A 26,297-nucleotide genomic window follows, 5' to 3' on the forward strand; every position below is an offset into this window, starting at 1 on the left:
CCAACACCCCCTGACCAGGACAGCTTTGCAGGCAAGGAACAGGCGCAGGTAAATAAATAGCTTGTTTATTAGTAATATGTTACATTATTAAAGTGCATTGAGAAGAGGTGCAGGGGCCAAAGCTGGAAGGCCACTGGCCCCAGCCACTGCCCTGGGTGGCCAGACACAGCCGGAGAAGGGCCCAGCTCCCCCCTGAAATGGATGGACAGGGCTGGGGGCAGGGCCGCCTGCCTGGAGAGCTCGGCCCAGGCCATCCCCACCGGAATTTTCACAGTTTAGCCTAAGTTATAACATGTCCTGAGCGAAGGTGGGAGGCTAGGAGCATGGAAGCACAGCCCCTGGGGAAGGGGGCTGAGAGGAAGGGAGGAGGCCCCCCGCCCCCCAACCCTCAACGCCAAGGGCAGAGTCCTGGAACCTCCCCCTGAGGACCCGGCTCGTCCTTCCAAATGAACACGGTGAAACTAGGGCTCAGTTTTCTCCTTCATTCTCCCGTTTCCCTCACCCCACCCCCTCCCATAACCACCCCCAACACTAGGGGCTCCAACAACGTCCCCCTCAGACCGGGCTCCCAGGGCAGAGCCAGCTCATGCCACTCTCCAAGAACCCATGCCCGTCTCCAGACTCTTATCTCATCCCCGGGAGCCTCAGACTGGGATCACCCCCGCTCCCCAACCCATCCCTTCCCAGCCCCTCCCTTTCCCACCCACCCCCCCGCATGTAGTTTTGGTATTTTCATACAGATGCAGTCGGAAGTAGCTATACATGAAATAAGCCTAACATAAAAATAGAGCTTTTTCCGTCCTTCCGTCCGGAAAGCAAACATCCTTCAATAAACATGCAAGGCGGCTGTCCTGTGGGACCCAGGACCAGAGAGGGAGCTGCAGAGGACAGGGCTGGACAGAGGGTAGCCCTGGGTCTTCAGGAACACCAGCCACCCAGCCATGAGAGAGGGAGGGGAAGGAGGCAATGTGGGTACCAAGAGTCCAGAAGGACTCAGGCCTCAGCCCCAGGGTCGAGATGGAGTCCCAGCTCTCCTATCCAAACCCACTCCCCGACCCATGGGCTCTTGGGCTGGGAGCATCGCTGCATTTAGTCAAGTTTGAGGAGTCTGAAAAATATTTTCCAGAAGATAAAGTCTTGGGTCATCGATGCCCCAGCTTCACAGTCGGTGCCCTCATTCTCAGCCCCTCACCATCCGTGCGCCACCTGGGGCCCAGCAGCCGCCTGCGGCTGGACGTCTCCAGGCCTGGCATCCTCCACTGGGTTATTCTGTCCCCTGGAAGAAGTGGCAGGCAAGGAGCTCCCGGGCCAGCCGGCTCTGAGTGTGAGACGTTCTAGTGCCCTGGGCTGCAGAAGCCTGAGGCATGCCCAGCCTCGGGAGGCCCTAGTGGACCAGCAAGCCAAGAGTGAGTGTGGGCAGCACCCCCAGCCAGAGGGAGGCGGCCAGGGCACAGGCATGACCCAGCAGGTGCTCGGCCATGATGCCGTCCTCGGGCAGCAGCTGCCAGTGCTGAGCCTCGCGGAAGTAGGAGCCCTCCTGGGCCTCGCAGAAGTAGTGGCCGTACTGCTGCGCCGTGAGGTTCTCGATGAACAGGATGCAGTTGGGGCTCTGGTGACCAGGTTCGCAGCTCTGCTCCACGTTCTCCTTGTGGCGCCATGAGTAGGTGGCGTGGCGGGATTCCATGGGGCAGCTCAGGTAGTAGCGAGAGTTTGGGGCCAGGGAAACCTTCTGCAGTGGGGCCTTGTCTGGGGAGGCAGTGGGGAAGCAGCCGTGAGGAGGGACAAAGAGCTCCCAGGGGAGGATGTGTCCTCCCCACGGACTGGGATCCCAGGACAAGGCTTCTGAATGAACGTGGGGAACCCAGCCCTCAGCGTCCTCCTTTTTTCTCCCGTCTCGCTCATCCCACCAAGAGGGCTCCCTCTGCAGGACTGTATCCTGCCCCATGTACCTGGGGCCCACAGGACAAGGCCATGTCTCCCTCAGACCAGGACAATCAGGGCAGGGCAGTACCCCACTCATTGGGCCACAGCCGCCAGCAGGGCCAGATCAGGTACCTGGTTTGGGGTTGGGACACTCCTTGTGTGGCTCGGCTGGATTAATGGATTGCAGCACTGACCTGGAGTGGGAAGGACGAAAGAGGATCAGCAGATACAAGGCTGCAGACCTGACCCTCCTATCCTTACCCCAGTGCAGTTCCAGCAGAGAGGAGGGTCCCACAAGAAAGGCCCAGTACCGCCACCTCCTCCAGCCCGACAACACCTCCCCCTCTCCCATGCCCACCTTCTCCCAGGGACGAGGGATCCCGGCCAACGTACCGTTCGGAGCTGTAGATGGAGATGCAGCGGCCTTGGTCCCAGCCGCAGTAGGGGTCTCGGGACATGAGGCAACCGTGGCAGCCCCCGCCATAGACCTCACACAGGTCCAGGGGCACCTGGCTCACCTCCCACTGGGAGCTCACATACAGCTTCCTCTGGAAGGACAGCAGGATTGGGTCAGGCCCGGGCCCCACCCCACACTCAGTCCTAAATGTCCAGGCCCTAAGGCCTAGAAGCTCTTAAAAGAACACACAAATCACATGCAAAGGAGCCCTGTCCTCAGCTGCAGTCACTGCATAGCCCATGGGACGCAGTGGGGGAAGGCTCACCCGCTCAGCATCCAGCGACATGGTCTGGATGGCAGCCGCGCGGCGGAAGGGCTGGATCTCCATGATGTTGAAGGCGAAGCTGTGCTCCTGCTCCCCCGGTTCCACCACCTTGTGGATAGTGCCCCTGTCTGTGTATGGTGGACAGAGGGTCAGTGGGCGGGAGTCCCACTGAGGGGCCAGGCAGCTTTCCTCTAGGCCGGGGAGGGGTGGGAAGTCACAACTCAGGCAAGGGTCACAGGACTGGTGTGGGCAGGGCGAGGAGAGCGTGACTGGGGAAGAATGTGGGAGCCTAAGGGCAGCCTGGAACCTTCCAAGGCTGATCCAGAGAGGCCATCCCAGGAGGCCCAGGGGTCCCTGGATACGGCCTCCAACATTCCCAAGGCTGCACGGGAAGAACAGAAGCAGGAGCCCCACACCAGCAAGGTCAGTGCGGCTGCTGTCCATGCATCACCTCGTTTAACCCTCCACAGCCCTGCGAGGTGGCTGTCATCTTCCCCACTCCACAGATAAGGAAATCAGGCTCAGAAAGGCTAAGCCACTTGCTCAAGGTCACACAGCTGGTGAGCAGCAGAGACCGAGTTGGAACCCAAATCTGTCAGAGCCCAACCACTCAGCTGCTTCTACAACTCCCCTGCCTCCTGGACTCTTAGGGAATATATTTACTTTAAATACATTTTTTTTTTATTTTGGAGTAATTTTAGATTCCCAGAAAAGTTGCAAAGATAGTACAGAGAGCTCCAATCTACCCTTCTCCAGTTCCCCCTAATGTTACCATCTTACATAACCACGGTATATTTGTCACAACTAGGCAACTGACATTGGTGCATTACTATTAACAAAACTACAGACTTTATTTGGATTTCACTAGTTTTTCCACAAATGTCCTTCTTCTGTTCTAGGATCCAATTCAGGACTCCACGTTGCATTTGATCTTAGGGGATATCTTAATTTTATAAAATCTTAGATCTAAAAAGGATCTTGGATTCTAAATCAAGAGTTCCCAAGGTCTTATAACCGAGCTGCCTGCCTCCTAGACCAATGCTCTCTCCGTTCACAATTAGGGACCAATGGGCACCCTGACCCCTGGTCCTCCCAATCCTACCTCACCTGCTCTCCCAGTTTCTAGAATAGCCTACCTCCCTCTCTCCCTCCCTCCCAATTTCCCAGGGCATCACCTGCCCCAAAAAAGCAGTCAGATGATTGCCTGCCTAGGATGTTTCCTCTACACATCCGTGATCCTCATCTGTGGACTCTGAGATGTGGCCAGATGCTCCTTGGGCCTGATAAGGCCCCACCCCAGCCACTGCCTTCACAGACATACTGCCCTATACCTCCTTCCAAACCAGCCCCAGTAACAGCATACCCTTGGCAAAATTCTCAGGAAAAGAGCCAATACTTCTCCCAGTTGTGAGAGCCTCCCATTCTCTGCAGAGGACTTAGAAAGCTCTATTTTTCAGTCTAGCCCAAATACGAATGATGCAGGCTCCAAAATGGTGCCTCCTCCACTGCCCTTAGAACGAAGACACCTTCTCTAATCACTCAAGTGTGCTCACCTCCCAAGTCTGCAGGAAGGGAATCCATGGCCCAAGTCCAGCCTTCCTTGTCCTAGCTCCTGCTCCCAGTTCCGCACTGTGTGACCTCTCCTCTTCTGCTCCCCAGTGCCCTGCCATCCCTGGCTGACCACAACAGCTGTGCCAGCCACTACTGGAGCCAAGCAAGGATGGGGGCCCAAGGGTGTAGCCGGGATGAATAGGGAGTAAAGAGGCAGGGAATCAGGACCCAGGCCCTGCCCTGTGGGAAATTCCTCTCCCCAAGGCTTCCAGGAGCCAAACAATGGTGCTGGGGTTCCAGTTTCCTACAAGGTCACCAAAGCCGAGACAGTTCCAAGGTGAAGCAGCAACAGGAGATCACATGGGGAATGTGAACAACTGAGGTTGGGCGCCTGGGCCTGAATTGAATGGCCCCAGGGGTGCTAGAGGCCCTTTCCAGTCTCAAGGAAGGCAGCTGGCATGGGAAGCTGCGACAAACCCAACTCAGGACTGGCTCCTCCGTGTCCTGTGGCTTTCCAGAAAGCAGGAGCATCTCCCACGGCATTCCACCCAGCTTCCCCCAGCAGGGCCTACTCCAGGGAAGAAGAGAAGCTGCCCCTGTCCTCTGTGAGATGGCAAAGGTTCTGCCCCCTGGAACTCCTTCCTCATACCTAATTTGTGCCCCATCAACTCCTCAAATGTTTCCTCTCACCTGCACAATCCCAAAGACAGGCGCAGGGCCTGACTCCCTCATTCTGCCTGGCAGAGGCCAGTATCCCTGTGGTTCAGGCCCCTCCTCCTCATTTGCCACGTCTCTTCCTACCATCTTCTTCCCTGAGTCAGACATCTGGACCAAAGGTGCACCTGGCTTTGCTCAGACTCTCCAGATTTCCGCCTCCAAATCCCAGTGCTTGCTTTTCTCCCATCCCCCTTTCCCTCTTGCCCCTACCTCCTCCAGGAAGCTCTCCCTGCCTGACTCTTCCACACCCACACACATTAACCCCTGACAACTCCAGTCACTCAATTATTCCTTCCACATGTAAAGATCCAACCAGATGTTAACTACATTATTCCTTACACCTTTCATGCCCGTTTTTACAAAGCAAACTGAGGGTCCCGGGGTAGCCTCTCACCTGTAGTTAGGTAAAGCACATGAAAGGTCTCCCCGTGGCTGGCTTGCATGCGGTGGACGGCCACTTTCTGGTAGTGGTATTTAGAGTGGAACAATGGCGTCTTCAGAGGCCCCATGGGCTCCACCCTCTGCGCCACCTCTGGGTGACGGTCAGCCACCTGGAAGGTCTCTGTGGGTATCGGCTGCTGGTCTGGGAGGCACTGGGCAAGGAGAGCAGGCCCAGGTCAGTGGGGTGGTGGGAGGTGAGGCAGAAGGAGGGCTGGGCCTGGGCCACGGCTGGTGTCACGCTCACCTTGCCAGGCCGCGGGTTGGGAAGGCTTGAGTGGTAGCCCTTGAGTGAGGAGGTACGGAAGACCTTGTCAATGTCACCGAGGGAATACACACAGACGGCTGAGTAGTTCCTGCAGTGACATGGAGACCAGCTCAATGGGGGGCCCAGAACCCACCCATCCACCTCCACTCACCCAGGCCAGCCTTGTGCCTGGCACTGAGTTGCCAACCACCACTGAAAATGGGGAGGGATGGAGAGGAGGAAGGAGAGGAGTTCAGCCTAATTTCTTTGTGCTGCAATTTAAAACCACAAACTTGTATCCTGTTACAGAATCACTGAGTCTAGAGGCCATCTGCTCTACCCAACCCCAAGGCAGGAGGAACCCCATCATAGGCTGAGCAGTTCTCTAGCCCTCCCTGGGCACAGGCTGTGGGGTGCTGATGCCCCAGGAGGCCAGACCCCCAACCCCTTCCCAGCCTGGGGGACCCCACTCACCCAGGAGCCACAGAGCAGGGTCTTGGCTTCCTCCACTCTATCCCTAACTCTCCCCACACACACCCAACACTTCCGCCTGCCGTGTGTTCAATCAATGAGAGTGATTAAGAAGTGTGAATTATCGGGCTCAGGCAGTGCCTGAGCAGGTGTAATAGCACCCAGCTCCCCGAGAGATGCTTCAGCAGCTTCCTCCTGGGCCCAGTGTCCACTCTCGGCACAAGCAGGTGGTGGGACACACAGGCACAAGTGCAGTCATGAGTGTGCATATAGGGCATGCACACACACCCATGAGTGCAGACTCACTCACACAACAGTACATACATCGCACTGGCTGTCCCCCCACCCCACACCCAGCAACAGCCCAGCCTCTTGAGCCTGCAGCCCCTGCTCCTGCCACACCAGGGAGGCCCTCAGCAGGGCCCAAGGCCTCCTGTCCCTACTGGACACTGAACCAATGCCAGCCCCGGCCCCAGGACAAGGGCCACTCACCAGGGGTTGGAGAAAACACCATAGACCCTGGTGTCCCTCCACTGGCCGCTGGGGTCAGGGAGCAGGAAGACGTCTTGCAGCCTGTTGAAGTTCTTGTTGGTGGCAGCATCACTGCATACCAGCATGGCTTTCAGAAAAGTGTTCCACTTGGAGACTGACAGTGAACTTTCCCCACCCTGGTCCCCCTGGAAGGGTAGAGGGGAGAAGAGGCCCCTCAGCACCTGCCCGGGCTTCCCCACACACCCCAGGAAACCACTGCCAGCAATATCAACACCTGGGCCCAGAGGAGGAAGGCAGGCTGTGAGGGGCCAGGACCTGCCGGGGGTGCCCCAGGACTCAGGGCAGGTCTCCAGATGAGACTCCAGCAAGCAGGCCTGGCTGATCCAGAGCCCAGGGCCAGCAGTGCCCAGGGTCAGGGCAGGTGAGAGTGCCAGGTCCCCACAGAGCAGACGGACTCAGACACACATTTACTGACTCACACACCCACACACGTGGCACAGCACATTCACACAGGCAAAACACACACACACACACACACACACCCCATCATACACACGCTCACACGCCATCATACGTGCACAGGAGCTCAGCCACCTTTACCCACACACAGACACATGATGCTCCATGCACACACAGCTGCTCCCACAGTCCCTGACACAGACCCACTCATACATCCACACAACTTCTACATGCACACGGACACACAGAACTCACCCTCACTCAGGCCTATTCATGCACAGACACGTAGCCAGCAGCCCTCACGCCCCTGCTCACCCTGCACAACTGGGCCACACGGGACACATTGAGAGGAGCCTCAGGATTCTTGTCAGGATTGTCCTCTCGGAAGAAGTAGTAGATCTTGTCATCGTAAGCCTGGTCTTGGTGCACGATGGTGGCTTTGATGAACTGTGGGTCTGCCAGGGACAGAGGCGAGTGGGCGTAAGGCTGGGAAGCTTGCCCGGGAGACCATCCCAACCCTGCACACTCTCCTCCCTCCTTCGGGTCTGCACAAACCATGGCAAATCAGATCTGGAATAGGACTCAGAACATCAGGTCCAACTCCCCGAGGGGCCCTAGACCCTGCACCTCCACCCCACACCTGTTTTGCCCTCTTCCTACAAAGATGTCATCGGCCCAGGAGCAATGACTTCATGCCTGGGGACTGGGGGAAGGTCCCTGGGGGCCCCTATGTCACTTCTGCTCAATTGGCAGAGCCCTGATGAGGAGGGAGTTGGGGGCTGCCTCCACGTGAACTCAGCAGAGGATAAACTTTGGCTCCTGGGGACCCTGCACTGGGTCTGGGGCTCCCTCTGTTTGTGTTCCTGAAGAGGGCTGGGCCCATCCCACTGCTATACCTTGTCTGTTCCTCTGCTCCCAGCCAACCCTAACTTCTCAGGCCTATACCAAGGTCCTGCTTTCCTGCATGGCCCCAGCGGCCCTCAGGGAGCCCTCCCAGAAACATCAGGATCCCATCTGCCACCTTAAGTGCTCACACCCCCTTGCCCACCCTCAGCCCAGCCGGAGCCTGACTCACTCTGCATGACAGTATCACTGGTGTACAGCTCACTCTCGCCCCGGATGCGGCGGAACCGAGGGATCTTCCCATTGTATTCCTGCTTCCGGATGGTGGAATACACCTCGTCCCCTGGGGTCAGTGGGAGGGAGAAATGAGTAAGGGCAGGCAGCTCCTGGAAGTCCCTCCTCCGGACACTGGACAAAGAGCTGACCACTCCTCTCCCAGCCCAGTTCAGAAGCATCCCCCTGGGGCGCCTGCTCCAGCACTGCCCTACCTTCAAACAGAACCAGGGAGTTCTCGTCCGGGCTGAAGGGGGCGTAGCCTCTCATCTCGCCAAGTGGCACCACAGTGCCATTCACCTGTGGGAGATCCAGAGGGTTGGATGGCCACATAATCCCACAGCCACTGCCTCCCATGACGGCCAGTTTCTCGGCCAGGAGCCCCATCCTCCCAGGGCAAGGCCAGCATTGGAGTCTCGCCATCTCCTTCCCACCATGAGGGGCAGAAGCCCACGCAGTAGAAGGTGAGCTGATCAGGCACATGGGGAGCAGCCTTCTCACCAGGTTCCAGCAGCTGGGGTGCCGGGCGTTGGTGCCACAGGCCAGCAGCCCCTCACTCCGCCTCTCCAGGAGAGTGATGTAGTTCTCGCAGTCCTGCCCGGGGAAGAGAGAAGGGAGGAGAGAAATTGGTTGCTGGAAGGCCCTGGCAAGCCTAGCACTAGGACCCCCAGGATCAGGGAAGAAGGTGTCAGAAGGGCTTAGCATAGGTGACAGCCTCCCGGGACAGCCCAGAGTGTGTGCAGCTGACGCCATCCCCTAAGCACAGAGGACCACGTCTCCCCATCAGTCTGGGACTCGTGGGGCAGGGCCATGCTTCCTTCCTTAGACCCTCAGGGTCTCCTCTCCCTTTACCAAGTGGCTCAGACCCCTCCATACCCCCTCCCCCACTCACCCGCTTATCCAGACAGGACCCCTTTGTGGAGCCGATATTCACCTGGGGGAAGGGGAGAAGCATTAGTTCAATCTGCCAGGGGTGAGGTACCCCTGAAATGCTTTCCACACAGCCTCAGGATAAGCCCCAAAGGAAGCAACCATTATTCTCATCTGACAGATGAGCAACTGGGGCTCTGAGAGGGTGAGTGATCTACCTGAGGTCAAACAGGGTCTCATATCCAGAGCTGAGGCCCAGAGGGTTCAGAAGACCAGGCATGGGCTCTGGGGCCCAGCTTCCAGCCTGGGCTTTCCGCAGCAGCGCTGCCCAGCTGGCCAGGCCCATTAGCTCCTGTTTTTCTCCACACCGCCCCAGCTCCCCACTCCAATCTGGACTACCTTTAGGGAGCCTCCCCCAGGAGCCATTTATAGGATACGGAGGTGGGGGCAGTTTAGGAAGAGAAGCCAGCTCCCTCGGATTCCCTGAGGACCCTTGGCAGGGCCAGAGGGGAGATAAGAGGGTAGGGGGGGTGTTGGGGGAAGAGAGAGGCTCACCGTGCGCACAGATGCGTTCTTGCCCTCGGGGAAGTCAAAGAGGTAGACCTTGCCACGTCCTCCCACCCACACAGAGGAGCTGCCTGGCTCGTGGAAAAGCACCGTGTGCGGCTCAGTCTGGCCAAAGTCCACCCGGTCCTGCCCTACATGGCCTGAGGAGGAGACAATTAGTAGAAACATTGAAGCCAGGTCCCGAGAGAGAAGACTCTGGGTCCCCTCCACATGGCACACTGGAACCAGTGCTTGGTGCTCAGGGTCCTGGCAGGGCGTCAGACAAGCTCTGGGCTGGGGTGGTACCCAGACTCAGAGAGTCAAGGACAGGAGAAGTAAGAGATCCTCCGGTGGGCTCCAGCAACCAGCTGTCCTCACCCACAGCACGGCCCCTCCCCTAGTGTGGCAGCCTCTCCTTCCTTCACAGTATGTGTGATCTCAGAGTGGGGAAGGATTTAGGGACCTCTTGGGGGAACAGACCCCCTCCTCTGGCACACACTTTTGAGGGCTGGGCTAAGGCAGGAGGACCAGGGCTCCTTGGCCATGCTCTGGGAGGTTCTCTGCTGCCCTAAGCCAAAGCAAGCAGCGCCCCCCAACCCCGGGCCTTTCAGCAGGCAGCAGGGCCTTCAAGCACCCCCCTTGGAGTCCAGGTTCCCAGGAATCACAATGCTCAGAACCCCTTCTCCTCCTTCAGGAATCCCTCTCCAACCTCTCCTGGCCCATCCCCAGCCCCTTAGTGAGCACTAGACTAGAGGAGGAAAGGAATCTCAACATCTACTCCGTCCCATTTCACAGATGGGAAAACAGAGGCCAAGGGAGGGGCAGCCCAAGGGCACACGGAAGCAGGTCAGTAGCAGACCCTGAACCAGAGCCTGCACTCCTGCCTACCAAGCTGGACTCTATTCCATGGCCCACTCTGGCCTGGTTTCACCCATGAGGATGCTAGCTCTCCGGGGGGTGAAGATCGGCTCTTCCTCCCCAGCAACTCTGGGACAGGGGAACCTTCACAGAGCACAGCCTGGGACTTTCAGCAGAAGGGCTGACCGGGAAAATTTTCCCCAAAAAAGAAACTGACTGCAGCCACTGCCTCTGGGGAGGTGTCTCATCTCCAGTGACACTGCTGAGGTTGTCCTGGTTGCAGGAGTAAATTATAGGGATGGGATGGCCTGTGGTTGTGCCCCCAGCAATCAGCCACACCCAGCATCTTCCCACCTCTGACCAGCCTGGGCCTCACCTAGGAACTGGGTCTGACCACTGTTTTTTCAGCTGCAGGAAACTCTGGGGCAGCCAGCTTGGCAGTGACACCCAAGCTCCAGCTCTGACCAAAAAGAACTACCATTTCCTCAACTCTGCCCCCGATCCCTCTTATTCCCATTGGAGCCATCCCTATTGATTCTGCATTTAACAGGGGCAAGGAGCAGCTGGACCACACACTGTGCCACCACACCTTCATTCTTTAAGAAACATCCCTTCATGGCCAGGTCACCCCCGGAAGTGAGCATTCTTCACCTCTTCTGTGGCCTGGCGCACTGTGCAGAGAAGAATGCTGAGGTACCCTGGGAGACATGCCAAGGTCACACCAGCAGGCAGGACACATTAGCTTGTCCCAGGCTGCAGTATCAGTTCTCAGCAGCATGGCAGGCTACAGAGAGAAGTGCTGAGCTCACTGTCCTTGGGTGGTGTGGCTCTCCTGGTGCACATCACAAACAGCCCAACTGAACAGCTCCGGGGATATCAGCCCTCCCTGGCCCCCAAGCCTCCCTCCCTGTAGGCCCGAGATGTGCAGAGCAAGGGCTGAGAGGTACTGGCACTTCGGTGGGAGGGAGGGAGAGCTGGCAGGTCTTGGGTGCTGCCCTGCTCCCCCTCCCTTCCTGGGATAAAATTAGAGTGCTGGGGTCACAGACACAGTCTTCCTGACTCAGCTCCCGTAACTCCCCTTCCACCCGCAGCCCAAACTGCAGCCACCATCCTCTGTGGCCCAGCCAGAGATCCAGACAGTCTGCCGCCCCAACTCCCCTCCTGCTCCCCTCCCATCCACCGATAGCCAGACTGGCAGCCAGGAAAAGGTGCGTGTCTGCATCTAGAGATGCTGGGCTAGGACCTGAGATCCATAGTCCCTGGGAGTCAAAGCAGAAAAGTTCTAGCCGTCAGACTGTGCTAGCCACCTTCATCAGTCACCTTAGCCCCACTCCTGCACCAAGGCCACAGGCCCAGGTCTCCGAGGGGGCCGGCAAGGCCAATGTACAACTACTCAAGGGAAAAGAGGCACCAGACAGGACTCTGGGTGGGGGCACCCTGGTCTAGGAATTGCAGGGCTGTTGAAGAGAAGAGGAAAACAGTCCTGCCCTGGGGAGTCGAGCCTGATGGCAGAGACATGACTGGGTCCTGGAGAGCAAGGTCTGAGGGGGAGGTCTGGCCCTACCCTGGGAATACATCTGAGGGGTCAGACAGCCACACCACAGAAAACTTCCACAGCTCTCCAGCAAAACTGTCTTAGCATGGACCCCAGGGCTGCCCACAAAGTATCTGCTGAAGACATGAAGGGAGGGTGAGGGCTGCTGGCCCCTGGGTAGGAGCTGCAGCACTAGGGCCCGGACAATCCCATGCGGATCTGCAAGCCTGAGCCCAGTTCCCTTCAAACCCTAGCCACAATGGCTAGGGTGGAGGAAGCAGGGACTGTTCGTCCCATTTTGCAGGAAAACGAACAGGAGCCCAGGACCACGGCCTCCCATGACCCCCAGGTTCCTGGCCCTCCCACCTCTGTTCTTGGTGATGCGTATGGACTAGAGGGAATGACACCAGCTCAGCCCCAGGACAAGGCCTTGGCCCATTCTCCACCCCAGCCCCAGCCTGGGCTCCCGCACCGCCTGAGGCCCTCAAAAGGCCTGATTGTGCCCGGGAAGTGTCGAGCAGCAGCAGCTCGATGAATACATGAAAGGAAGCTTTGTTCAGGTTGGCAGGAGCGGGGGCTGGGGGCTAAGGGGCAGGAGGGCTGCCTGGAAGTGAAGGCAGCACCAAGCCATCAGGGCCAGGCCTCGAGTCTCTGCCCAGGCAGGGGCTGAGCAAGGCCAGGGGCTACCCCTAAAAAGGCCAGGCCAAGGGAGTATGTATCATATCCCTGAACATTTTCTTTGTGATGCTTTATGAACCCAAACGGAGAGGTGAGGTAGATAAAAGCTGGATGGGCCCTGAACAGGCCGGGAGGGAAAGCCAGGCAGAGGACGCAACCTGAGCAAAGGTGGGGAAGGTGGCTGTATGGAGGACAGAGGCCATGCGCTGCAGCCTGGCAGAGTCCTAATGAGAAGAATCGGGAAGGTGAGCTGAGGCCCACGTGTGATGGGGGAGGGAAGATGCAGCCTGTCCAAGGACACACTGACCCACTGCCCACCACTCTCCCCTGCTGCCTGAACCTACGAGCAGGGCCAGGAGTGGAAAATGCCTCCCCATCCTCTGGCGTCCCCCACCTCCTGGCTCCCCCTGCTTCCCATCCTGCTTGTCTAAAAGGAGCACCGTCTGGCACCGTGTCCCCCCCTCACTCCCCAGCCTGACGCATTAGTGGCTAAGTGGTAGCTAAAAGCTCCCAGAATAACCAGGGGCTCAGGTAGGGGAGGGGGCTAGGGACATATGGGGAGGGCATAGCCCAGAGGCAGGCCAGGAACAAGACAACCCACCTCCCGCCCCATGTGATTCCGAGCCAATCCTCACTCGTGCTGGACCAAGAAAGCACATTCAGGCTGCCCCGTACCCAGCCGGACTCCATAGTTCCCCTGAGTACCATTTCTCATGGTGGCAGGGCCAGCAAGGCCCAGCTCCGGCCAGATAGGAGGGCTGCAAGGATGGCTGGGTTGTAGGAGATAACCTCCACCAGACACAGCCGCAGGGCCGGGTGCTCACAGGGCTCTGATCCCATTGGAAAGAATGGGGCCTGACTCCTTAGGGACCCTACCCTCGATCACCACCCCAGCAGCTGACCGACTGTGGCAAGTCTGGGCCTCTGGCATGCATTTCCTAACTCAGGCCTGCCTGGTGGAGCACGTTTCCTCTTCTCATTCACTCTGGTGCTGTCACCGTCTGGCCCGCTGTCCCCATACTCTTGTTGTTTGTGAAAGAGGAGTGCAGCTCCAGGGGAGGGCAGAGTGGGAGGTGTTGTTGTCCATGAAGGGGCTGGGTCCCATGCTCTGGTCTGGCAAAGCCAGCCTTGCAACCTGACCCACTGACCCAGTGGGCCTTGAATGTAACCTCAAGGAGCCTTTTGAAAGTGGGCAGAGAGTCAGGCTCTGAAAATGGCAGGAATGTGGGCACCCCCACAGAGAATGCCTAAGTCAGGCAGTCAGAGAGGCCCCGGGCCAAAGAGCAGAAAGCAGGCCGACCTCAGGTTGGAGAGCCAGCACATCTGGCAGGAGCGTCCTCCCACAGTTGTGCCCCCACCCCTGCACTGCCAGGCCTACCTCACACCCTCGCCCAACTACGTGTCTGGAAAAGAGAGTAGAGGGAAGGCCCACGTGATGCCTAGGAATTAGCCTGCAGCCTCTCCACCCTTTGGAATCCCACATCCACATGTCAAGGTGGAAGGGAGAGGATCTAAACAGTCATTGAACTGAAGGACACAGAGGCCAGAGAGGCTGTACCACCGGCCCAAGGACACAGAGCGAGGGAAGCTCCAAGTTTCCAGTACCCATTACCCAGCTGCTTCTCTCCAGGATCACATCCTGGGCTTCCTGGAGAGCCTCTGATTTGCAAAAAGCTGTATATTCAGCCTCTCCCTACTTCCCTGAATCATCCCTACTCTACCCTTCCCTCTCTTGCTCACTAGGTGCCGAGTCACTAACCTGATAACTAAAGGGAATCACCCGCCCACCCACCTTCCAGGTGAGGCCCTGATCTCCTAGGGGCCTTTAGTGATCAAAGCCTTAAATCCAAAGGAGTGACTAATGGTGGAAGTGTAGGTGCCGTGCATGTCAGAGTGGTAGAGGAAACCCTTCCACTAGGGGTGGGAATACAGGAACAAATGTTTCTGTCTCTCCTGATATGGCCAGGAAGAGGGTGTGAGAAGCCTGGTTTCCAGGGTGGCACCGGCTCGGTGCTAAGGATAGGTCATGGTTGCAGGTGGGTCCTGGCAACTCTCAGGCAGGGTTAGGTTCTAGATTAGCTAGTCGCCTGGCAGGGGCAGAGCCTGTGTGCTGGGGCAGGTGGTGGGGCCTCGAGACAGCACTCAGCTCATGGAGGACTGAGAAGTCTAACTTGTTTATGAGCTATGAGAAGAGCGAGCTGTGTGCTGGGCCAAAGGGGAGCATCCTCCCACCCACCAAGGTCAGCTGTGGGTGGGAGGGGAGTATATCTCATGTGTGGCTCAGCCCTGGCTCCAAGAAGCCTCATTATCTCTTTGGTGGCTGGACAGCTGGCTGGCTGTGACGGTGATTGGGGCTGGGCCTTCCTGGGTTCATTTTCCTCCCTGTGGATTAGCTGGGTGCGAGTCAGGGTGGGTGCTGGTACTTGTTTGGGCCTGGGTTTTATGACCCACCAGGATTCTTGAAACAAATCACAAAACAATCAGGGTGAAGTCCATGGGTCTTTTTGGGAAAGTGTGACTCTCTGAGTGCCAGAGAAGTCAGACAGTTTTCTGGAAGTGGAGGCAGCAGAAGAAACTGACATTCTCATCTGCTTCCACTGACCAGCCCACCAAACCTCCAGCCACCCTGCAAAGAAGGCAGGACAACCTGTATTGCCGTTTTACAAACAGGAAAACTAATGCCCTTCCAAGCCACCAAGGTCTGGATGCTCTCCCCATGGCACCACTGTGCTCAAAGGACCAGAAGAAGGTTTGGCTATTGGGGAGACTGTCTGGGGCAAAGTCCTAGGGAGAAGGGACAGTGTGGAAAGCAAGCCCCTTGGTGAGAGGCTGTGCTGAGCAGGATTCAGGGACTCAGGGAAGGAAGGCTGGCACTGAGGCCCAGCTGGAGTGGGTAAGATGCCCTGAGCCCACGCCCAGGGAAGGCCGGAAGCCCAGGACAAACATCATGTCCCATCTACCTTCCAGCTGTTCTCCAGCCCAGCAGGTTCCAAAAGCCCCAGAGTGGGGCCGAAGTCGCTGGTGGCTCCTTCAAAGCAGACAAAGGGTAGCGGTGCAGGGCCTGCCCTTGGGCCCACAGCCAGGGCAGGGGTCGGGGAGAGGGCGGAGAATGGCTACACAACCCCAAGTGGAGGGAGGGAGGCAGGTGGAAGACTGCTGAGAAACAGAAGGTTCCCCAGTCTTAGCCTTAGCCTGAACCAGCAGGGGAGACTGAGCAAGGGCAGCCAGCCAGCAAAGCCCATTAGGGAGAACTGGCAGGGGCTGGGCTGCCAGGGCTGCATTCCATCAGAAACCAGAGATGCCAGAGGAGGAGGAGGAAGATGATGACGACGATGATGATGCCCCTACCACCCAACCCTTCCATCGCATTTACTACGTGCCAAACACTATTCCAAATGATTTTTAGATATATTAACTCATTTAATCATCACTGAACTCTCATGAAGTAGGTTCTTTTATTATCCCCATTTTGCAGATGAGGACCATGAGACACAGAGAAGCTGAGTAACTTACCCAGCATTACACAGCTAGTAAGGGGTGGAGCAGAGGTTCATACTCAGGCAAGCTGACTCCAGAATCTGTGCTTATAACATCGTATTCCAGAGATGAGCCCTTGGAGGCTTCCAAGGTCAGCCCTTCCCAGACAGATGAGGAGACCAAAGCCTACCGAGGGTGAGGCCCAGTTAGAGGCTACTTGGCTAATGAAGTCCTGACCTCTGCCCGTAACACCCTGAAGACAGTGTGTGCAAGTGAGCACAGGTGTGCAGGCCCAGGTGAATGTAGTGAATTCCTATGCTTTGATGTTGCCCTGGCATCCGTTTTGAATATAAGCTGGGTTTTCTCACACTAGAAGCAGGGCTCAGTCAACCTTGACACCGTTTCCAGCTCCCCACCTCCTCCCAGTTCCTCCATGTGCTCAATCCAGATATCTACCGTAGACAGTCGTCTCCTGGTGACTGCTTCCCTGTGGGATGGCTACATACAGCCCACTTGATTGGTCCTGCTGACCTTGTCCCACAGCCCGCATGGACTGTGCAGATAGGCCAGTGACCTTGTCTCAAGTCACAACATGACCTCCTGGAACTCATGACTGCTTGCTGTAAACCCACCAATTAAAACTCCCCATGGAGGCCAGGCACAGTGGGTCATGCCCATAATCCCGGCGCTTTGGGAGGCTGAGGTGGGCAGATCATTTGAGGTCAGGAGTTCGAGACTAGCCTGGCCAACATGGTGAAACCCCATCTCTACCAAAAATACAAAAAAATTAGCCAGACATGGTGGTGTGCGCCTGTACTCCCAGCTACTTGGGAGGCTGAGACAGAAGAATCGCTTGAACCCAGGAGGCAGAGGTTATAGTGAGCTGAGACCACGCCACTGCACTCCAGCCTGGGTGACAGAGCAAGACTCCATCTCAAAACAACAACAACAACAAAACAAACTCCCTGTGGAAAACTTGTTTTAATAACACCATGGACCCCATAAAGATGCTGGCCCATAGATCCCCCCACCCTGCACATGCTCCCTGACCTCCACCTGTGTGTGGCTTCAGGTACACCAGGTATCCCTCAAGACCTGTTAGTAACAAAATCTTTATTTCCACCTGCCTCTCTCTTAATCATGGAAGAGGTGCTCTCCATCTTAAAGATCCTAAGTTACAACAGTGGGGCAGGAATCTTCTCGAGGTGCAGCGTGGGGCCCCGGTCCTGAGTGACTGATTAGAAAGACAAGTCTCCCAAGATCTCGCTCAGAACATAAAGTACTCTGTGGGGCCGGGTGCCATGGCTCATGCCTGTTATCCCAGCACTTCGGGAGACCAAGGCAGAAGGATCACATGTGTTCAGGAGTTAGAGGCTGCAGAGAGCTATGAATGCACCACTGTACTCCAGCCTGGGAGACAGTGAGATCCTGTCTCTAAGAAAAAAAGTACTGCATGCTCTGAAGCTGACCACAGTGAAGGGCAGAGTGTGCTCACCAGCCAGGTCCCCACTCAGCCAGCCCTGGCGAAAACACTCACCTCCACTCCTCAGCTCAAGGACCCACCATGGCTCCTAACTGCCCATCCAAGCAGGGCCCAAAACCTCAGGGCAGGGCAGTCAAGGCCCACCTCATCTCTGCACAGCTCTGCCATGGCTCATTTCCATCTCTGCACTTTGCTCCTGTTCTCCCCTCCCTGGATTGACCTTCCTCCTTTTCTCTGTGCACATGGATCTTACCTGTCCTTGAAAATGTAGCTAAATCCCTTGGATCCAGGAAGTATTCCAGACTGCTCCAGCCCTCACTGCCCGTACCTTCGACCTTGTACCACAAACCATCTGGCACCACCATCTTCGCTCAGATCATGCTGTCTGATGGGATTTCATCTGGCCTATGGGGCCCTGAAGGTGAGGACCAGGCTTCCTCTTGCTCCAAGTCTTCCATTCCCAGGGAGCAGCTCAGACAGTGGAGAGAAGCAAGACTGGGGCAGGCCAAACTCCCATGCCAGAGGGACAGGTATCTTAGAACAGATTCCTGGGCCACCAATGGAGTGCAGAAGTCATCACAGTGACCTTCCTTCCTCGACAGGCTGGGCCAGAGCTCCTGCCTCAGCCTCCCAAGTAGCTGGGATTACAGGCGTGTGCCACCACACCCAGCTAATTTTTTTGTATTTTTAGTAAAGACGGGGTTTCACCATGTTGGCCAGGCTGGTCTCGAACTCCTGACCTCAACTGATCTGCCTACCTTGGCCTCCCAAAGTGCTGGGATTACAGGCGTGAGACTCTGTACAAACAACAATATGAATAGCTGTCTATGCTGCACTCTGCCCCCACCCTATGCTCCTGCCCCTAGCTCTAGCCTGGCTCCTCCTCCTCCCCCAGGAAGCCTTCCTTGATTGCACCATCCCACACTGACCTTTCCTGCTCTCACCTCCTGTCACAGTCCTAGGCTACATCTGCAGGTCATTCCTGACCTCCCCAGGGGTCCGCCCTACTTCACAGGCAGAAGACTCACCTCTCCAGGAATGTGGGGGCTCCCCAAGGGCAAACCCAGGGCTTCTCTTCCTGCCTCTCCCCCAGAGGAGCCGAACACAGACCTAGGCTGGCTGCCCTCCATGATGAGGGGTCACCCAGGGGTGCTGGCACAGAGCCCAAGCCTCTGGCTGGAAGCATGGGGTGCAGAAGGCATGGCAGGATCAGCATAATCCCAGGCTGTCATGACAGTTAAAACCTGATTAGCCCGAGCCGGGACACAGATCAACCTGTCCTTGGGACCTGAGGCCCAACCCACCTGAGGAAAGACCAGAAGAGGTATATGGAGCTGGTCCAAATCCAAGGTCCTGAAGAGAGGACACTCACAGCTGGTGTGGCTCCTGGGAACAGACAGCACTGGGGCGGGAAGAGTCTGGGCCCAACTGGGCTAGCAGAGGAGGAAAGGCACTGAAGGGGCCCCCAGCCTGGGACAGAGTATGATGGCAGACAGAAAGCTGGAAACAGGCTGAGAGCTGGGGCAGAAGCAGGCTCAGACGACTCAGCCCCGGTCCCAGCTCTGCCTCTTTGGGTGATCTCGGGCCAGTCCCTGTCATCTCTGAGCCTCAGTTTCCCCATCTGTGGAATGTTTGGCTGGCCCAGCTAATCTCTGACATTTCTTTTCTGACATCCTAAGCTCGCGCTGTCAGGCTGTGTGGGTTGGGGTCATCCAAGAAGGTTCCTCAGAGGAACTGAGAAAGAACCAGCAGCCTCCTTTCTGGGCAGAAAGGAGGAGGAGGGTGAGTGGGGTGCAGAGAGGAGGCGGAGCCAGGGAGCAGTGAGGGAAGAACTGTGGGAGTCTAGGAGGCAGTGGGGCCAGGCCACCATGCAGGGCCTGGGGAAGGCGGCAGCTGTGTGCCATGTGTTCTGGATGGGGTGCAGCATAGGGACAGAGGTCCTCCGGGAGGCTGGGCACAGATCTGGAGAGATGGCAAGGCCAGGGCCAGGGAGAATAAAGGGCTTGGAGAGCCACCCCATACCATTCGGGGCAGAGAGGGGACAGTCCCTCAAGGCCTGGCTGGCTAGGGAAGGGGGAACTCTGTCCTCTGAGGAGGCAGGGCCCAACAAGGTGCCGTGGCCCTCCATCCCCCTGCTTTCTTTCTGGCCTGCCTGGTTCCCTGAGGACAGGACAGCTGGCCATACACCTGGTGGCTGGCCCTCCCTGCAAGGGTACGGAACCCTGGCTCTTCTGAAGGCAGGACAGGTTAAGGGCCCCTTCCTCCCCCAACCATGGCGAAGGAAGGCTCCTGGGGCAGCCACGCTGGGCCAAAAAAGGAAATCAAGAGAAGTGGAAACTTTTCAGTCCAGAGCTGCCGACCAAAGCAGGGGAAGTGCAGTCAGTCTCTTGTGACAGAGCCGTGTGAAGCTGGGGGTGGACAGGCTATCAGCTAGTGGCCCATCTACTCCAGCTACTGCCCCCTGAGGGCTGCCAGACCTGCCCCCTGGGCTGAGCTTCACATCCCACCTTGCTTGGCCCTCCTCAAAAAACAGAGCCCAGCTTTCCCTGCTTCCCCCAGGGCGCCACCCTCAGCCCAGATAGTGACCTATCCATGCCACCCCCACCCTGCCACCTCCATGCTCCTTCCATCTCTGCAGAGGAAGAGCAGGAGAAGACAGAGCTGAGGGACAGACCTTCTCACCTGGAGACTGTCCTGCGGTCAGGAGTCAATGGGGAAAGCCATGGTCTCCCTGGACCCAGAGCCAGCCTCCCACCAGGGAACTGTGACGGGGCTATGGCCTTGCCAGCACTCGAGAGGCCTTCCCTGCCTGCCACGGCCCTTCTCCAGTGGGTGCGTCCTTCCTCCTCACTGCTGCGCCAGTCATAGGATGACAGGTATCCCCTCACCTATGCCCATCTGGACAAGTTTCAAACTTTTCGGGAGCCCCCAGGCCCAGGCTGACTCAACGCCTCTTCACATGGGGGCCCCTCACATGGCTTCTCTCCTCTCTGTGGTCCTAGCTGTAAGTTCTTGGGTTTAAAATCCTACTAAGTGGGGTGCTTCCTCCTGTTCCTTCCCTCCCCCAGCTGGCTCCTCCTCCTGCCATTTCAGCTTGCTCCCTCTTCCAGGAAGCCCTCCCTGATTGGGAAAATTGGGTTAGGCATCTCCTCAGTGCCCATAACTGCTCTCTGTTACACATTCTGTTGTACCTGCAGGTTTATCTGCCCATCTACATCTACACTGAGAAGTCTACAAGGGCACGGAATCATCTTGTTCCTCATCACCAGATCCCCAAGCTCATCCCCAAGACCAGCACAAGGGTGGCCCCGGCAAATGTTTGCTGAATGAATATGTCCACCCTTGAGGGCACATGCTGATGATCCATTTCCTCCAAATGATCCTCAGCCTTTGGCCCACGAGAGAAAAAGATAGGAAAGAACGCGAACTTAAGGGTTTCCCCTGACTTCCCAGGTTTCAATTTCTCCTCCAGATTTCTCGAAATCTAAGATTTAAACAGGCCACCACAGACTCTGCCCAGCCCCTCCCATCCCAGAGAGAGAGAAATCCTAAGACATTAAATCTCAGAAAAGGATGAGCCCCCTCCCCTACCCTCTTTGGGCATTTGGGGAAACTGGGGTTCAGTAAAAGGCAAAGACTTGCCCAGTCACAGAGCAAATTAGGTCACAGCCTGAACCAGGCTCCCGACCTCCCAGCTCTCTCCCCTATACCATGGTCATCATTGGACCTGTGCCAGCGTCCATTCCACCGGACCTGCTCTCAGAATCTTCACTGTCCAGGACAGAGGGGTCACAGAGCTTGGTAGGAAGCTCCTGGTGACCTCACCAAGCATCTCTCTTGGCTTAGGAAACTCCCCCTCTCCTCCGGGGAATTGCCCCCCCACCATGAGACTCTGTGGAGGGAGTTCACCTTGAAGGTGATGAACACATCTAAGTCCCCAAGGGGGCAAGGATTTCCACTGGAAATGCTGATGCTTGGGAAGCCCCAGATGTGACCTCATCCCCTGGAGGAGGTAACAACAACCTCCTGCCCTGGGGAGCAGCCCCAGAATGGCTCCCCAGCAGCCACCAAGTCAACAATAACATCCCGTTGTTTCACTGGACAAAAGCGAGGGAGGGCAGAACCAGCCGGGCAGGTTGAGACTGGGGATATGGGTTCTGTTTCCCCATGGACAGGCTGGTTCACCTCTGACCTTGGGGTTCCAAGCCTTCTTTAGCTCCTCCAACCACTGATAAAATGGAAGAGGGGTGCACAGCTTACAAACGCATGCCAACCTCCTGCTAAGCCCCAGCCCTCACCTGCAATCTACTCCCTTACAGTTCCTGCTTACAGGAAGATCAGGACCACACATGCACATCCTTGACTGGCCCATGTGTCAGTGACAGCCCTTGGGGGACAATCCCTACAGCCTTTCTTGCTCTGGCAGGCTCTAAGGGTCAAAGACAAGTGTGGAGCTCAAGGACACCCAGCAGGTACATGATGGCCCATCTCTCTCCCTGGCCTGAGCTACGCTGTGCCAGACTTTCATCAAGCTGCAGAGGCAGCAATCTCCCTGATCAGTGCAGGCTGGGCCCCTCTCAGAGTTCCCTGCTTTAATCTTTCTCTAGAACTTGGGGATCCAAGCAGCAGAAAATAAAGAACTTTCCATACCTATTCCAGTCCCCACAGCTGTCCTGACTCAAAACTAAAACCCCCATCTATGCCTCATAGAGAAATGGCTCCAGAACCACCACCATCCCTGATTTTGTCATTCCTGGATACCACCATACTCCCACCCACCACTGGTAGACAGAGCTCTAGGCTTCCAGAAAGACCCCCTCTTACCCTGTTCCTGGGTTTGTCCTACCCAAGCCCATTCCTGTCCGATTGCCATGTGTCACCCCACAGGAGACAGGAGGCAGCTGTCAGTCGGGCACACCATCACCAGCTGGTGGCCCTGGGGGTGGGGGGCAGGTGAATGGCAGGGCCTGTCTGGCCAGTGGGGCACCTGGCACTGGTGAAGGAGACCACAGACTGTCGTTGGACAAGACTGGTGAACGGTTGGCAGACCCCAGCCAGCGGGGCTCAACAGTGCATTACTAAGCAGAGGGCACAGCCAGTGTGGCTACAGCAGTGAACTGCGGGCGGGGGGGTAGGCCATGGAGCTGTGCTGGGAGCTTCGAAAAGTGGGTAAGAGGACTGAAAGCAACTTTAAATAGCCTCAGGGTGGGAACTAAGTGCCCAGGATGGGATGTATGCATTAAGTGCTAAGAAGTGGGTGTGCATTAAGTGGGGTGGGGGTGGGGGGTCATGGGAAGACTTTGGGACAGGCAAACAGAGTCAAAATGCAAGGGGTTTGATGGAGGGAAAGATTCCAGAACACTCAGATGTGGCCATTTGTCCCCTCCAGAGTGCCCACACGCTATGATGTCCAAGACAGCCAAGGAGACTGAGGGAAGGCAAAGCTGCTGGGAGGGCAAAGGAAGCTTGGGCTGGAGCTGGGATGGCAGAGGGGTGTGCAGGCCTCCTCCATGTACAGGCGGCCGGAGCTCTAGCAGCACTGCTCGGCTTCCTCCAGGAGCACCTCAGGCTGGGTAGCCGAGCTGGTCCCCAGAGCACCTCATTCATGGTCCCTGAACCACCTAAATCCTTCTCCCCTCCCTAACCCAGAACCTGGACTGGTCCTGTGCCAGATCAGAGCCCCTGCCTGCACCTGGGCTCCCACACTGCTCAGTGACCTTGGGCAAGTCACATTCCCTCAGCTACTGCGGCAGTTCGGGCCACTCGTTTTGTGTATGGTTTTTTTTCCCCTCTGCTAATAATACCTGCCCCAGATAATGCTCAGACTCCCGCAATCCCTGCAAACTGCCAAAGGCATCAAAAGGCTCCCGGTGGGGCCAGACCCGACCAGTTCCCCCAGCCCCCACTGCGAGTCCCCCACCATCACGACAGGGGGGCCGCAGACACGCCAAATTTGGGGACAGAGCCGAATCGGACTGGGGGCGGGGAGGCATTTGTGTGCAATGCAGGGGAGGGGAGATCAGTTCCTCGCGGCAGAAAGCCTCAAACCCCCGCCTAACCGGCTTTCTGTCCCATAGTACAGGGTCTAAACTGAGGTGCCCTGGGGGAGACTCCAGTCCCCCAGGTTCTTATTATCTACCCTGGCCTAAAGGCTGCACCCCCGCCCTAGATCCACCGCCTGGGGGTCCCAACGGCCGTGCCCCACCCAACGGGCACTGCCCCCCAACGCTGGAGCCGATTTCTGGTGACAACTGCCACGTGCGGGCAAGGGGGGAGCGGCCGGTCCCGGCATTGCTGAGGCAGCGCCCTGGTACCCCAAGCCGCCGCACCGCACCATGTCCCGCCGCTCGCTGCAGGATGCCCACCCCCTTGCCTGGCCCGAGCTCCGGGCCGGGGCGGGGGCGGGGGCAGGCGGCGGGGTCTTTGTTCCCGCTGCCGAAGCGCGGCGGCGGCGGCAAGGGGTCCGCGCCCCCCTTGCCGGCCCAGCCTGCGCCCCGCGCGCCAGCAGAGCCCGCAGCTCAAAAGGAGGGTACCCGGGTTGGGGTCCCAGGCGGGGAAAGGTCCTCCGCCGAAGCCCCCGAGCCAGAGGACCCAGAGTGGCTCGGGGCCGAGAGAGGGGCCCGCCCCCTCCCCTGGCGCCCGGGCGTTGCGGCTCCTGGCTGCCAGGGACTTGGTGCGACTTAGCCGGGGCTCCGGCCCCCGCCGCTCGCTCGCCGCAGCGTTACAGCCGGCTCTGGTGTGCCAGCGTGTACACTCACACACACTCACCCAAACCCACACGCTCCACGCGGGGACAGCGCGGGGACAGCCCGGGACCCGCAGAGCTGCGCGCACGCACTCCCTCCGGGTGCAGCACACTCCGCACCCGCCCCGCGCAGCGTCTGATCCCGCGCCTGACCGGCCGCGCGGCGCCGCCTACCTTTCCAGACGGCGAAGATGCGGGGTCCGCTCCTTAGGTGGCCCTGGGCGGAGGCGGCGGCCGCCCAGAGCAGCAGCAGCAGCCGCAGCCGCAGCGGAAGCCCCAACCGAGCCGGCGGGCCAGGGACGCGGGCGCGCGGTGCGCTGGGGGCGGCACGTCCGGGCGGAGGAGGCGTCATCCCGTGGCCCCGGGAGCGACAGCGGCAATCAGCCGAGACTGAGCCAGCGCCCGGCCGCAGGCAGACCCAAGCGCCAGGAGGCGGAGCCAGCGCTGACCCCACCCCGCCCCTCCCCCCGCCCCTCGCAGCCTTTTCTCGCCTCACTGGCTTTCCTGAGCGAGAGCGGAACTGCTGGGGGAACCTTCGCCACCCTCTCCCGGGCAACTCTACGGGGAAAGCCCAGCTGCGGACAAGCCAGACTTGTGGTCTTCTGCCAGGGGCGGCAGGCCCTATCCCCTCTCTGGGCCTCAGTTCCACTCCCCGCACCCCGTAAAAAGATTGGCGTAGAAGTCGTGGAGGACCTCTCTCCAAGGGCGCAGAGGAGTCCAACACCCAACAACCTTGCTATGGCCAGCTAAGTGGTTCGCACCCTGAGGACTATGGTCCTCGGAGGATGCGTTCGCCTAAGTGGACACGGCTCCCTGCTGAGCCTACCAGCAGGCACAACGATGATATGTGGGGAGCACTCAGGGACCCGCTGTTGCTTTGCCTGGGAGAACACTGGAAATTTTTCATCTTGGCCTGGCTCCTTCCCCTCCCTCTCCTTTCTCCTCCCTTTCCCAGCCAGCAGCCTTCTGGGCTGCCTCCCCCCAAGCCAGCTGGTGTACGCTCAGAAAATCCAAACTCATTTCCATGTGAGTGGAGGGGGATATAATTAGGAAGGCCCCTTCCCCAAGTAGAGAGGGGAGCATCCCCCGTGCCCCACTCACTGTGGGGGAGGGAGGGTCAAAGCAGCTTAAGGGGATCTCTGCCCGCAAAGTGCCTAGGGCTCAGCTATCTCAGGCAACCTGACCATTCAGTGGGGACTCCCTTGGGGGGTCCAGGCCCAGACCCTCTGCAGTTACCTGAGCAGTCCAGCCAGCTCTGCCATCAGCTCCTCCTCTCAGAACTACGTGCCTGCCCTTTGTAAAAGGGTCTCCTCTCTCTAGACCAGACAGGGCCCAGACCTACCACTTCCACTTGTGCCCCAGGGAACCATGAATGGAAAATCCACCCAGCTCAGTAAGTACTTATCTAGTGTTTACTGGATGTCTAGCTGCACTGAGAGGAGACAGGCCGAGGAAGGAGTAGAGGTGAACATCCAACCTTCAGAACTCACAGACCTAGACACGATTCACGCACTGCAGACACCAGCAAAGGCGGTGGGCTGGCTGCCCTCTGCCCTCTGCCCTGCTCCATGGGGCCAGGACCATTTGGTTGTTGTTTTTACCTCCTGGAACCAGGAAAGTTTTGCTACCAAGAAGTTTGGCTTTACCATTCTACATTTTGCTTCCAGTTGTCCCCTCCTTCTTCCCTCAGAGTCCTGAGGCACCCCAGCAGGCCAGGAAGGTAAACTCAAGGTACCTCCAGAGACAGTGCAGAGTGAGGTTCCTGGCCCACTGGGTGAAGCCAACAGCCTCCTGATACACAGGGGCACACTGCCCCAGAGAGGGAGGCTGTGGACAGTCTAAGAGCTCCTCCTCAGGCCTGCACCTAAGCCTGTGGCCCTGAAGCCAGCAGTGGAGCCTGGCCCAGGCCAGCCTCTAAGATGGACATTCGGTTTCACCTGCTAGACAGGTATTGCCCTCAGTGTCTGTCC

The 26,297-nt window shown here is 57.9% G+C and overlaps 1 protein-coding gene and 1 non-coding gene across 5 annotated transcripts, besides 13 other annotated features; both read right to left on the reverse strand.

Moving 5' to 3' along the window:
- Positions 1-501: an enhancer, noted in NCBI's record as "H3K4me1 hESC enhancer chr15:74701581-74702081 (GRCh37/hg19 assembly coordinates)". NCBI's record gives its function as "activates a minimal SCP1, AML or CMV promoter by ChIP-STARR-seq in primed H9 embryonic stem cells {active_cell/tissue: H9 hESC(primed)}" and the evidence as "EXISTENCE:reporter gene assay evidence [ECO:0000049][PMID:30033119]".
- SEMA7A (semaphorin 7A (JohnMiltonHagen blood group)) lies at positions 50-24,719 on the reverse strand. Of its 4 annotated transcripts, none has more exons than NM_003612.5 (14): positions 24,502-24,719; positions 9,562-9,713; positions 9,029-9,070; positions 8,638-8,730; positions 8,352-8,436; positions 8,096-8,206; positions 7,336-7,475; positions 6,562-6,746; positions 5,599-5,707; positions 5,308-5,506; positions 2,646-2,773; positions 2,317-2,471; positions 2,056-2,117; positions 50-1,746 (listed from the first exon to the last, which is right to left on the reverse strand). In NM_003612.5, the coding sequence occupies exons 1-14, from the start codon at positions 24,677-24,679 to the stop codon at positions 1,385-1,387; spliced, it is 2,001 nt and encodes a 666-aa protein (NP_003603.1). In that variant the 5' UTR covers positions 24,680-24,719; the 3' UTR covers positions 50-1,384. The 4 variants fall into 4 exon arrangements, with proteins under 4 accessions (NP_003603.1, NP_001139502.1, XP_047289133.1 ...); NM_001146030.3 differs by lacking the exon at positions 24,502-24,719 and adding an exon at positions 24,351-24,465; XM_047433177.1 differs by lacking the exon at positions 24,502-24,719 and adding an exon at positions 11,000-11,488.
- Positions 145-404: an enhancer, noted in NCBI's record as "active region_9772". NCBI's record gives its function as "activates an Ori minimal core promoter by ATAC-STARR-seq in GM12878 lymphoblastoid cells {active_cell/tissue: GM12878}" and the evidence as "EXISTENCE:reporter gene assay evidence [ECO:0000049][PMID:35858748]".
- On the reverse strand, positions 2,118-2,193 carry MIR6881 (microRNA 6881). The gene has a single exon (NR_106941.1). It is a non-coding gene; the product is annotated as a microRNA 6881 (primary transcript).
- Positions 2,410-2,910: an enhancer, noted in NCBI's record as "H3K4me1 hESC enhancer chr15:74703990-74704490 (GRCh37/hg19 assembly coordinates)". NCBI's record gives its function as "activates a minimal SCP1, AML or CMV promoter by ChIP-STARR-seq in primed H9 embryonic stem cells {active_cell/tissue: H9 hESC(primed)}" and the evidence as "EXISTENCE:reporter gene assay evidence [ECO:0000049][PMID:30033119]".
- Positions 2,911-3,411: an enhancer, noted in NCBI's record as "H3K4me1 hESC enhancer chr15:74704491-74704991 (GRCh37/hg19 assembly coordinates)". NCBI's record gives its function as "activates a minimal SCP1, AML or CMV promoter by ChIP-STARR-seq in naive H9 embryonic stem cells {active_cell/tissue: H9 hESC(naive)}" and the evidence as "EXISTENCE:reporter gene assay evidence [ECO:0000049][PMID:30033119]".
- Positions 12,354-12,985: an enhancer, noted in NCBI's record as "H3K27ac-H3K4me1 hESC enhancer chr15:74713934-74714565 (GRCh37/hg19 assembly coordinates)". NCBI's record gives its function as "activates a minimal SCP1, AML or CMV promoter by ChIP-STARR-seq in primed H9 embryonic stem cells {active_cell/tissue: H9 hESC(primed)}" and the evidence as "EXISTENCE:reporter gene assay evidence [ECO:0000049][PMID:30033119]".
- Positions 13,689-13,983: an enhancer, noted in NCBI's record as "tiled region #521; HepG2 Activating DNase unmatched - State 1:Tss". NCBI's record gives its function as "activates a minimal TATA promoter and a strong SV40 promoter by Sharpr-MPRA in HepG2 cells {active_cell/tissue: HepG2}" and the evidence as "EXISTENCE:reporter gene assay evidence [ECO:0000049][PMID:27701403]".
- Positions 14,249-14,879: an enhancer, noted in NCBI's record as "H3K27ac-H3K4me1 hESC enhancer chr15:74715829-74716459 (GRCh37/hg19 assembly coordinates)". NCBI's record gives its function as "activates a minimal SCP1, AML or CMV promoter by ChIP-STARR-seq in naive H9 embryonic stem cells {active_cell/tissue: H9 hESC(naive)}" and the evidence as "EXISTENCE:reporter gene assay evidence [ECO:0000049][PMID:30033119]".
- Positions 19,773-19,862: an enhancer, noted in NCBI's record as "active region_9773". NCBI's record gives its function as "activates an Ori minimal core promoter by ATAC-STARR-seq in GM12878 lymphoblastoid cells {active_cell/tissue: GM12878}" and the evidence as "EXISTENCE:reporter gene assay evidence [ECO:0000049][PMID:35858748]".
- Positions 20,483-20,562: an enhancer, noted in NCBI's record as "active region_9774". NCBI's record gives its function as "activates an Ori minimal core promoter by ATAC-STARR-seq in GM12878 lymphoblastoid cells {active_cell/tissue: GM12878}" and the evidence as "EXISTENCE:reporter gene assay evidence [ECO:0000049][PMID:35858748]".
- Positions 20,603-20,702: an enhancer, noted in NCBI's record as "active region_9775". NCBI's record gives its function as "activates an Ori minimal core promoter by ATAC-STARR-seq in GM12878 lymphoblastoid cells {active_cell/tissue: GM12878}" and the evidence as "EXISTENCE:reporter gene assay evidence [ECO:0000049][PMID:35858748]".
- Positions 23,882-24,001: a silencer, noted in NCBI's record as "silent region_6649". NCBI's record gives its function as "represses an Ori minimal core promoter by ATAC-STARR-seq in GM12878 lymphoblastoid cells {active_cell/tissue: GM12878}" and the evidence as "EXISTENCE:reporter gene assay evidence [ECO:0000049][PMID:35858748]".
- Positions 24,152-24,301: a silencer, noted in NCBI's record as "silent region_6650". NCBI's record gives its function as "represses an Ori minimal core promoter by ATAC-STARR-seq in GM12878 lymphoblastoid cells {active_cell/tissue: GM12878}" and the evidence as "EXISTENCE:reporter gene assay evidence [ECO:0000049][PMID:35858748]".
- Positions 24,352-24,861: a silencer, noted in NCBI's record as "silent region_6651". NCBI's record gives its function as "represses an Ori minimal core promoter by ATAC-STARR-seq in GM12878 lymphoblastoid cells {active_cell/tissue: GM12878}" and the evidence as "EXISTENCE:reporter gene assay evidence [ECO:0000049][PMID:35858748]".

This window comes from Homo sapiens, chromosome 15 (assembly GCF_000001405.40).
Source record: "Homo sapiens chromosome 15, GRCh38.p14 Primary Assembly".
Lineage (NCBI taxonomy): Eukaryota > Metazoa > Chordata > Mammalia > Primates > Hominidae > Homo > Homo sapiens.